This window comes from Homo sapiens, chromosome 7, assembly GCF_000001405.40.
Source record: "Homo sapiens chromosome 7, GRCh38.p14 Primary Assembly".
NCBI lineage: Eukaryota > Metazoa > Chordata > Mammalia > Primates > Hominidae > Homo > Homo sapiens.
Window position 1 is genome coordinate 122005480 of NC_000007.14, and position 12729 is coordinate 122018208.

General features: G+C 35.8%; 1 protein-coding gene across 5 annotated transcripts in view; it reads left to right on the top strand.

Moving 5' to 3' along the window:
- Window positions 1–12729, top strand: part of PTPRZ1 (protein tyrosine phosphatase receptor type Z1) — a 188876-nt gene that overhangs the window by 132319 nt on the left and 43828 nt on the right. For 3 of the 5 annotated variants that reach the window (NM_001369396.1, NM_002851.3, NM_001369395.1), the window contains one exon: window positions 4855–8410. In NM_001369396.1, coding sequence (NP_001356325.1) covers window positions 4855–8410 — 3556 coding nt within the window. The remainder of the gene's footprint in view (window positions 1–4854; window positions 8411–12729) is intronic. The other 2 variants (NM_001206838.2, NM_001206839.2) reach the window with 1 other exon arrangement.

Here is a 12729-nt window from a genome sequence, read left to right on the forward strand (position 1 = left end):
ATAAACTATCTTGATATTTTATGTATCTTATGGCTAGTCTCTCTTACAAGGGACTATTTTACCAAAATGACCAGTCTACTTTGTAACAGGAGTTTATAGATTTCAGCTAAGAATAACTTTATTTGTATATGTACATACATGCTCACATGCATATGGAGATATATATATATATGTATATATACACACACATACAAGCGATCAACAGAATTAAGTCAAAAAAGAAATTATATTTGTGCTGAGTTGTTAATTCAAATAATGGGTCTGACATACTGATGTAAGCCCTTTTTTCAGTAATTGGTGCCATGTATTAAATGATATTCTGTTTAAGTTCTGTCTTTTATATAAGTATTACACATCACAGACTTTTTAGAAAGGACCAAGGAACAATCAATTATTTTTCATAGTAATTCCCATTACCATGATTCACGATCCATGCTTAGTTACTTTAGTTACAAGATCCATGTTTAGTTATTTTTCTTCTCTATTGCCATTAACCCTAAGGCAACTTTTACCATAAGCCTACAAAAGTTATTTAAAATCTTCCAATGTTAATTACTAGTAAATTTCTACATAAAACTATAATATTGTATTTAGTATAATATTTAGCTGTGTGAATAGGCTACACATGTGACTTTATATGCATTTTAAAATATTTTCCATTTTTTAATGGACATATAATACTTCTACATATTTATGAGGTATATAGTGATCAAATCAGAGTAGTTTGCATATCCATTATCTCAAACATTTACCATTTTTCTGTGTTGGAAACATTTGAGATCCTTTTTTCTACCTATCTGAAAATATATATTATTGCTAACTGTAGTCATCCTATAGTGCTATCAAACACTAGAACTTATTATTCCTATCTAGCTGTAATTTTGTATCATTTAACCAATCTCTGCCTGTCGCCCCCTCGCCACTACATTTCTCAGCCTCTAATAACCACTATTCTACACTCTACTTCTATTAGATCAACTTTTTTAGCTTCCACATAAGAGTGAGAACATGCAGTATTTATCTTTCTGTTCCTGGCTTATTCCACTTACATAATGGAGGTATATCTTTATTTTTGTCATACACTCTACAATAGAGATACCTAAAGCTATTCCTGTCATGGTGCCTCTGGTCTTGCCATGTACATATATGACAAACACAAGCAGATCTTCCTGTTAGAGAAGAATGTGAAGATATGTGAGCAGGCTGGCTTGTTGTAGTCAGAGAAAAGTTCCTAGATAGGAGGAAAAAAAAAGCCTCAGTGCATCAGCCCAGGTCTCAACAGGAAACAGATGCCACACTCAAGTGGAGTCATGGAGGTTAATTTAATCAAAAAGGATGATTCACAGGTGTGGGAAGTCTTAATGCAAACAAACAAGGGGTGGCATTGTACATTTGGTATGAATTATATCAGGGACTCGTTGTTACATCTAAACTGAAAGGCAAGAGGGCAAGGAGAAGGTGCAGAGAGAATGGCACAGCAGATGCTGTGGCCTCTGTAATGAGACAGCACCATCCTGTGGTGACCAGTTAGGTAAGGAACCTCCCAAGGAATAACCACATTATCTGGCCACCCGCCTAGAATGAATGGAGACAGGTGGAGAGAGGCTGTGGAAAGCAAAATGAGAATATACAACACACTGAGGAAGGAGTCACCTGAGAAAGCAGAGTAGAATTAAAAATCAATGTCATTACTTGTTGGTAGAAGGCTATGATCTAGAGGAAAATGAGGAGGAGAAAGAATTCTTATGACATTAGGCTTATTTGGTTTGTGGGGCTTTACCCATGGTGGTAGTACCCAAAGAAACAGCAGCTCTAATTCTTTGAGCTGGAAGAATCCTTGGCACTGCCAAGGGGGAGGGAACCAGCTACCACCACACAGATGGGGATTTAAAATAAAGGATACAGGAGCAGTGATTGGTAAGCTTGGCTTGGTAAATTGGTAGTAGTTCTTGCTATTGAAATTAACTATTGTATTAATAATATATTGTCAAATCGAAAGAGACCCATGTCACAATATGTCTTCCTGGAGCATGATTATGAGATGGGATGAAAACACTTCTTAACCAATCCACTATTCACTTCCTTTGCTTCATGCAGGAATGAATGACAGGCTGGAAAATGCATGGAATATATTCATAATGACTTTTAATCCCTGAATATAGAAATAAAGAGTTTGAAGGATATTTCTTAGATCCTCTCCAAACAGAAATGTATGACTTTGCAAGACAAAGTATCTGTAGCATGATCATGGCTTTACACTAACTTTTAAAAATGAAGTTGTGAAGGATAACATATGACACAGATCAAAACTACAGTGGAAGAGTCACAATAACTCTATAAAGAAATTGTAGGAAAGAGTATTTGTTAAAATATTTGTAGTCAGATATGAATAAAGTAATCATAGGGTATGAATGATATGTTCTTCTTAAAATGTTGACATAGCCAATGTGACCTTACAGCGATCAACAAGATATGGTAGGGTAGGATTAATGAAGGTCTAATCACCCTCACTGGGTTCTGAGAGGTTCTGAACCTCATAAAGTTTATAGAACGCATATGTATCTGATGTGTGCATAGTTTTTTCCCAACTATGTAATAAGAAGAGGTGTGTAGCATTATGTTACAATAAAAATTTTATGAAAATTTACATTGCTTATAGGAGGATATGATAAAGGATGTTTATGTGGAAATATAAGCAAAGAGAAAGAAATGTAATATTATTGTGGAAGTCAATAGACATTGTTAGATCATATAGAGAAAATGGATGACATATCTTTGGGGAACTTTTGCTGTGAAGGAGAGACGAGAAGTAGAATGATAACTAGAAGGTGAATTAGAGGTTTTCCTTTGTGTTTCCTTTAAATAAGAGAGATCAGAGTTGATTTAAGCTGATGAGAATTATCTGTTTGAGAATTTGAGAAAACAAATCAGAAACACAAAATAGACTGAACTACTCAATTATGTTCAATTCCCAGGTTCATGATAGGGACTAGATCTAAAACACAGAAGTGCGAATTAGCTTTAGAAAGGAAGGAAAACAACTCTTTAGTTATAACAGGACAGGAGGGGCAGAGATAACTTGGTTGGTCCCTGTTTTTATGTTAAGAAGAAGTGTGTCTTTGGTGGCTTCTATTTTCCCTGAAAACAGGAAGGCCATCTGCTGAGAATGGGAGGAAAGGATAGGAAAATGAAGGTTTGACAGAGTTTTGGTAGAGAGAAGGAGTGTGGAGTGATACCAGAAAACTAGGCAAATATTTAGGTTTGCAAAAACAAGGAAGAGTTTAGAAACTCCACACTGCCAAGCTTAACATTGATCCCCAGCAAAACTCTGCATCACATTATAAAACAAATATTTATGAGAACTTCTAAGGAAAGAAGAGATAATTGGCACCAACCAATTTTCCCTAAAAGCAAGTCAAGGCAAATTATTCTCATTTCCTTTTGCATTAAGTTTTTAGGTTTGTAGATTATAGGAATATTTTATTTAGGAAATTATTTGGGAAAATCTCTCAGGTGGTCCTTGTGAACAAGGTATCACACAGAATGTAAAACTTCATAAAGAATACTGACTACTTGTAAGGAAATTTTTCAAGGGAATCTGAGAGAGTAGCCATTTTTAGCACTCAATATAATTCAGATCAAGTGCACTAACTTCCTAAAGTTGTCACTTATGCTTCAGAAGATACTCACGACCAGCCAAATAATTAAGCTGTAAATAATGAGGCAGCCATTAAGCTTGGAATCGTGTGTTTCATACAGTGCAGATTTCCGTGTGTATGACACATGCTCATGAGCACACACAGCTTAAGATTCAGATTCTTTCTACTGATACTGGTCAAGTTCTCAATGGCTGTACTCAGTAATTTTTTTCTTTTAAGGAACATGGCCTTAAAATATCTAATAGATGATCAAATAAATGACAATTCTAACAAGCTGTTGGGTACAAAGATACTGACAAAATCATGTCCCACATGAACTAAAAAAAAAAAAAAAACTTGATAACTTTGGCAATTGAGTTTTCTAAGTATATAATTAGATATAATATACCCAGTTTTATGTATATATACGTATATGTATATATATACATATATTGAATCTTCCATGCAATGAAGATTATGCTTAAAGCATAGGTCTTGGTTAACTTCTAGCTAGAAGACTAGACGTCTCCTCCTGGGTCATTGCATGGAAGATTCAGCCTCCTGAATGGTGATTCTAAGGGAAACACAAAATTAAAAAACTAGGAGTAGAATCATATATTGACAAGTTGCCTTTGAAATATCTGCCTAAGTCTTAAGTGGAAAATATTAAAAAACAAAAGGAAAAGAAAACCAAACACCTCTTTTAGTTCTAAATCTTCCCCTTATTATGACCTTAAAATTATGATTTGCTCTAAATAGATATAATTAAATATTCTGAATGTTCAACTACTTTGGTCTTTAAAATAGTTTCATCGCCAATTCTTATTACAATAAGCTAATGGCTATTTACCTTGATGCCTGATGAACAAAGAAATATAAAAACAATAAAATAAATGCCATGTTAAATAACACTGTCAATAAATAACTACAGTGTGTCTTCCTTTTAAATATGTGGTATCTATTCATTTAACCACTTCTTTCCATAGCATTAAAATAAAGGCGGCCATAAATTAGGTGTTTTCATTACGTTTAATTACTCCCCTGTAGAGCGGATGGTAAAGGTTGTAGGTTAGAGGTATGCATTGTACAGAATGGTGTTTTATGAGGATGAGAAGTTCCCAAGATACCACAAGTGATGATTGGCAGTGTAAGATATGAAGATTTTCTTTTTCTCTTATTTCCTTATGACTCATTAAATCTTGTTTGCTTTTCAAAGGAGGAGGAAGAGGGAAAAGACATTGAAGAAGGCGCTATTGTGAATCCTGGTAGAGACAGTGCTACAAACCAAATCAGGAAAAAGGAACCCCAGATTTCTACCACAACACACTACAATCGCATAGGGACGAAATACAATGAAGCCAAGACTAACCGATCCCCAACAAGAGGAAGTGAATTCTCTGGAAAGGGTGATGTTCCCAATACATCTTTAAATTCCACTTCCCAACCAGTCACTAAATTAGCCACAGAAAAAGATATTTCCTTGACTTCTCAGACTGTGACTGAACTGCCACCTCACACTGTGGAAGGTACTTCAGCCTCTTTAAATGATGGCTCTAAAACTGTTCTTAGATCTCCACATATGAACTTGTCGGGGACTGCAGAATCCTTAAATACAGTTTCTATAACAGAATATGAGGAGGAGAGTTTATTGACCAGTTTCAAGCTTGATACTGGAGCTGAAGATTCTTCAGGCTCCAGTCCCGCAACTTCTGCTATCCCATTCATCTCTGAGAACATATCCCAAGGGTATATATTTTCCTCCGAAAACCCAGAGACAATAACATATGATGTCCTTATACCAGAATCTGCTAGAAATGCTTCCGAAGATTCAACTTCATCAGGTTCAGAAGAATCACTAAAGGATCCTTCTATGGAGGGAAATGTGTGGTTTCCTAGCTCTACAGACATAACAGCACAGCCCGATGTTGGATCAGGCAGAGAGAGCTTTCTCCAGACTAATTACACTGAGATACGTGTTGATGAATCTGAGAAGACAACCAAGTCCTTTTCTGCAGGCCCAGTGATGTCACAGGGTCCCTCAGTTACAGATCTGGAAATGCCACATTATTCTACCTTTGCCTACTTCCCAACTGAGGTAACACCTCATGCTTTTACCCCATCCTCCAGACAACAGGATTTGGTCTCCACGGTCAACGTGGTATACTCGCAGACAACCCAACCGGTATACAATGGTGAGACACCTCTTCAACCTTCCTACAGTAGTGAAGTCTTTCCTCTAGTCACCCCTTTGTTGCTTGACAATCAGATCCTCAACACTACCCCTGCTGCTTCAAGTAGTGATTCGGCCTTGCATGCTACGCCTGTATTTCCCAGTGTCGATGTGTCATTTGAATCCATCCTGTCTTCCTATGATGGTGCACCTTTGCTTCCATTTTCCTCTGCTTCCTTCAGTAGTGAATTGTTTCGCCATCTGCATACAGTTTCTCAAATCCTTCCACAAGTTACTTCAGCTACCGAGAGTGATAAGGTGCCCTTGCATGCTTCTCTGCCAGTGGCTGGGGGTGATTTGCTATTAGAGCCCAGCCTTGCTCAGTATTCTGATGTGCTGTCCACTACTCATGCTGCTTCAGAGACGCTGGAATTTGGTAGTGAATCTGGTGTTCTTTATAAAACGCTTATGTTTTCTCAAGTTGAACCACCCAGCAGTGATGCCATGATGCATGCACGTTCTTCAGGGCCTGAACCTTCTTATGCCTTGTCTGATAATGAGGGCTCCCAACACATCTTCACTGTTTCTTACAGTTCTGCAATACCTGTGCATGATTCTGTGGGTGTAACTTATCAGGGTTCCTTATTTAGCGGCCCTAGCCATATACCAATACCTAAGTCTTCGTTAATAACCCCAACTGCATCATTACTGCAGCCTACTCATGCCCTCTCTGGTGATGGGGAATGGTCTGGAGCCTCTTCTGATAGTGAATTTCTTTTACCTGACACAGATGGGCTGACAGCCCTTAACATTTCTTCACCTGTTTCTGTAGCTGAATTTACATATACAACATCTGTGTTTGGTGATGATAATAAGGCGCTTTCTAAAAGTGAAATAATATATGGAAATGAGACTGAACTGCAAATTCCTTCTTTCAATGAGATGGTTTACCCTTCTGAAAGCACAGTCATGCCCAACATGTATGATAATGTAAATAAGTTGAATGCGTCTTTACAAGAAACCTCTGTTTCCATTTCTAGCACCAAGGGCATGTTTCCAGGGTCCCTTGCTCATACCACCACTAAGGTTTTTGATCATGAGATTAGTCAAGTTCCAGAAAATAACTTTTCAGTTCAACCTACACATACTGTCTCTCAAGCATCTGGTGACACTTCGCTTAAACCTGTGCTTAGTGCAAACTCAGAGCCAGCATCCTCTGACCCTGCTTCTAGTGAAATGTTATCTCCTTCAACTCAGCTCTTATTTTATGAGACCTCAGCTTCTTTTAGTACTGAAGTATTGCTACAACCTTCCTTTCAGGCTTCTGATGTTGACACCTTGCTTAAAACTGTTCTTCCAGCTGTGCCCAGTGATCCAATATTGGTTGAAACCCCCAAAGTTGATAAAATTAGTTCTACAATGTTGCATCTCATTGTATCAAATTCTGCTTCAAGTGAAAACATGCTGCACTCTACATCTGTACCAGTTTTTGATGTGTCGCCTACTTCTCATATGCACTCTGCTTCACTTCAAGGTTTGACCATTTCCTATGCAAGTGAGAAATATGAACCAGTTTTGTTAAAAAGTGAAAGTTCCCACCAAGTGGTACCTTCTTTGTACAGTAATGATGAGTTGTTCCAAACGGCCAATTTGGAGATTAACCAGGCCCATCCCCCAAAAGGAAGGCATGTATTTGCTACACCTGTTTTATCAATTGATGAACCATTAAATACACTAATAAATAAGCTTATACATTCCGATGAAATTTTAACCTCCACCAAAAGTTCTGTTACTGGTAAGGTATTTGCTGGTATTCCAACAGTTGCTTCTGATACATTTGTATCTACTGATCATTCTGTTCCTATAGGAAATGGGCATGTTGCCATTACAGCTGTTTCTCCCCACAGAGATGGTTCTGTAACCTCAACAAAGTTGCTGTTTCCTTCTAAGGCAACTTCTGAGCTGAGTCATAGTGCCAAATCTGATGCCGGTTTAGTGGGTGGTGGTGAAGATGGTGACACTGATGATGATGGTGATGATGATGATGATGACAGAGGTAGTGATGGCTTATCCATTCATAAGTGTATGTCATGCTCATCCTATAGAGAATCACAGGAAAAGGTAATGAATGATTCAGACACCCACGAAAACAGTCTTATGGATCAGAATAATCCAATCTCATACTCACTATCTGAGAATTCTGAAGAAGATAATAGAGTCACAAGTGTATCCTCAGACAGTCAAACTGGTATGGACAGAAGTCCTGGTAAATCACCATCAGCAAATGGGCTATCCCAAAAGCACAATGATGGAAAAGAGGAAAATGACATTCAGACTGGTAGTGCTCTGCTTCCTCTCAGCCCTGAATCTAAAGCATGGGCAGTTCTGACAAGTGATGAAGAAAGTGGATCAGGGCAAGGTACCTCAGATAGCCTTAATGAGAATGAGACTTCCACAGATTTCAGTTTTGCAGACACTAATGAAAAAGATGCTGATGGGATCCTGGCAGCAGGTGACTCAGAAATAACTCCTGGATTCCCACAGTCCCCAACATCATCTGTTACTAGCGAGAACTCAGAAGTGTTCCACGTTTCAGAGGCAGGTTAGTTACGGATCAGAAGGACAGATTGAGGTGTGGTGGTTTGCTTGCTCTAAAAGTAAAATGAAAATTATAGAAAGATAGAAATTTGGTAAAATGGTACATCATCATTTTTAAAATCAAAACATTCAACAAATCAGTCTCCAGTTTCTGAAGTATAATTTTATTTATTATTTCAAACAATTATTTAACACATTTTGGTTTTTAATTTAATTCTCTCCAAAATAGACAAAACAATTTTTATTTATTGTCAATATTTCATACTCTACAGGATGTCTTTTATGGGTGGGGGCAATTCTGTTTGCATAATACATTTTTAGTACACTGCTTTTAAAGCAAGATCAGAGTATGCTATTTTAGATGATTTTAATTTTCATACTTTTGTTCTAAAATAAGTTGTAAACTAATTCTATTTAATTATAAAATGAATTATTAAATCTGAGAGTAATGTGACATAAGCACTTCTCTCTGACACACCCCTGTAGAAAGGAATTAGTTAATTTCCACATTCATATCAGCTTGGGGAGCTTTATTTATTATTATTATTTAATTAATTAATTAATTAATTTTGAGACGGAGTCTCGCTCTGTCGCCCAGGCTGGAGTGCAGTGGTGCAATCTCGGCTTACTACAAGCTCCGCCTCCCAGGTTCACGCCATTCTCCTGCCTCAGCCTCCCGAGTAGCTGAGACTACAGGCGCCCACCACCACGCCAGGCTAATTTTGTGTATTTTTAGTAAAGACGGGGTTTCACCATGTTAGCCAGGATGGTCTTGATCTCCTGACCTCGTGATCCACCCGCCTCGGCCTCCCAAAATGTTGGGATTACAGGCGTGAGCCACTGCACCAGGCCAGGGAGGTATTTATGTATTTATTTATTTATTTAGTTTTATTACTAAGTTTTGAGAGTTAATAATGAAGTTAAAAAAAATTTTAATTTTTTTGTCTTTCTTTATCTTAATGTTGCCTAAAGAGGGCAGTGTAAACCATCAAAATACATTTTACTTTATGCCTGCTGTTACACACTTTTTTAAGTTAAATAATGGGCATTAATATGTACAGTATGTATAGGTATTGTATCACAAGATGTAAAACACTAAACATTTTTCTGTAGAAATGAATTTCATTTGTGAATGTATTTTATGCAAATTAGCTTACTGACCAGATGTTTCTTAGAGCAGATTATGTGCAGTGTTTATAATACAGATGTCTGCTTTAAATGCCAATGGAAAGAAGAGGGAAGTTCAATCCTATTAAGTATAGAAAAGTAATACTTTCATTGAATTGGTCATAAGAATTTTATAATTTGCTTTTATTAAATGTGAACGTATCTTAAAGTTTAATAATGAAACTATTTAAATCTTAACATCAAGTTAAATGATAGGCTAATGTAACAAAATGCACTCATTGTATAAAAGTGAATATTTGTAATCCAGAACATAGACATCAGTCTCATTAGAATATTTTTCCTCTTTGCGATTTCATCTTTTTAATTAGTTGTATATTTTTTCTTCAGTGCAGCAGCAATTAAAAGTTTGTACATTTTGATAGAAAACTTTTTCTGTATTCTGAATTGATACCTATTTAACATTGCATTTTAAACACTTAAATGCTGATATGTGAGAATGAATAATGAATCCATAGGTCACTATAGTCATTAGTGCTGTCATATATATGAACTGTTATCTGTTCTCAATTATAGTAGCTGCTTTTTAGTTTTCATTAGATTTATGTTAAAAGAAAATATCAGGAATCCATCTATCTGTCTTACCAGGTAGTGACATTGATACGTTCTTGCTAGACTATGCTATTATAGAAGGATATATATAATGAGATGCTAAACCTAAAATTATTGACTAAAGCTTAGCAAATTTCTCTTCAGTGCACTAATTAGTTTTATTTAATTATCAAGAGTGTGTTCTCCCACTAATTAGGATAAAACAATATGAATATGACATCCAACATTATCAAGTAACATAATTAGTGAAGTAAATAAGATCAAACAAGATTAGGGGAAAATTCTGGCCTATTTTTAAAACTGTATCTATAAAATCATATGTAATCTGTCTTATCCAATAATTGAATATATCCCTTTATCAAATGCATGCAGACTAGCTCTGAAACTTAAGATTTTATGGTGTATTTCTAGAATGCAGAACAATTTACAGGATGTGTTCTTTAAAATACTATAGATAAGGCAAATATTAGTATCCACAATTTATAAATGAGTACACTGACACCCAAAGATACTAGATTATTTGATCCAGGTCACATGAGTAAATACAAAACTGAGCCTGGAAATGTCTATCTCTTAAAGATTATGCTTTCATGTTAGGGGCCAATTAAATAAATGTAATGCTTAAATTGTAATACCAAAATTATACTATCTTATTCTCAAAACATCTTTTAAAATGTTAATCTTAGTTTTTTATTTCTTAATTACCTATTAATTAAATATTTTAATTTAGGTAACTCATATATACTACTGAGCCATCTCAAGGAGATATTTTAGTCTCAAATAAATAAAAATAAAATCAGTAAAATTAATTCCTCATTATAGTACACAAAGCAACCAACTGATTGTCTGTGCTTTCATAAGATATCCTATTTTGTGTAAAAGAGCTAGGTTTCATGCCATAGTTTGATCATTCTGACTCCTTAATTAAAGGATTTAAGATCAAATATCCCAGAGCACTTTTGAGAAAAGTTTATACACAAGACTATATGTGTGTGCATGTGTGTATACAGTGTCTGTATATAAATATGTGTATATGGTATATTTACATATATAATGCATTATATATCTTACATATATGACATATATGATAGGACATATCTCATATATATGTATGCTATACATATATAAATGAAATATGTAATTATATATATATATACCCATATACATGTTGCTTTGAAAATTTGTGGCTATTGAAGACCTGCATAATTATATAAGCTTACTTCGTACATATATTAATCTACATCACTGGTTCTCAAACTTTAACATAGATCAAAATCAACTGGAGGACTCGTCAAAACACAAATTGCTGACCCTTACACACAGAGTTTCTGGTTCAGAAGATTTTGTATGGTTTGAGCGAAGCCTAAAATTTGCATTTCTAAGTTATGATGATGTTGATGCTGCTATTCTGGGGATCAAACGTCAAGAAAATCTGATATAGATAATAATATTAACCACCATTTGTACTAAATGAGGTACCAAGGACTTTGCTAAGTGAATGTTTTCATTTATTACTGACACACTTACTTTCCATCTAGGTAACAATAGTTACAATAGAAAAAACTGTGAAGACAACCATGTATAAAATAAGATGTTTTTCTAAATTTTATAAGGAAATGCTCATTGCATTCACCATCAGGTTATTTAGGTGACTAGATGATTCTAAATGAGTCTCCACAAAATAATGGCCAGAGCTTAGGATTAACATTTTAAAAAATGGAGTCTTGGGCTTTTCTCACAAGAATATTAGCTACAACTCAGGGCTGAGTTGGCTTAGAACATTTTCACTTTTTATACAGTTTTATGATTTTTAATCACACCTTTGAATTCCATTTTTCCTAGTAAATGCATTTATAGTTATAAGACCAAACATCTTGGGAAGTGTGTGTGCCATTTATATTCCTGTGATACATTACATTTATTTATTTATTTATTTATTTATTTATTTATTTATTTTGAGATAGAGTCTCACTCTGTTGCCCAGGCTGTAGTGCAGTGGCGTGATCTCAGCTCACTGCAACCTCTACTTCCCGGGTTCAGGCCATTCTCCTGACTCAGCTTCCCAAGTAGCTGGGATTACAAGTGTGCACCACCACGCCTGGCTAATTTTTGTATTTTTTATTTTTTTTAGTAGAGATGGGGTTTCACCATGTTGGCCAGGCTGGTCTTGAACTCCTGACCTCAAGTGATCCGCCTGCCTCAGCCTCTCAAAGTGCTGGGATTACAGGCATGAGCCACCACGCCCAGCCTGATACATTCCCTTTATTAATGGATTAAATTCCTGTCCCTTTCTGCTATCACCCTTGATCAACAGAAGAAAGCTATTATTTTAAATCTTAAGTTCTCTCCAATTAGATATATTTTAATGCTATATATGTGCACTTATATTAGTCTCAATTTTCTTAAATACATATTTAAGTTAAGTGAAGTTTCTCTGTCTCCTATTACTTAAGCATCAGAAGTGCCAAGTGCATAAGAAGGCATGTAGATTTTGATGGGAAACTCAAATGTGGTTCTTTCAGAATGTCTGCAGGTAGATATAAGGGCTTTTTGTAGCACTGTCAGCATGCTGTAATGTTAGAAACC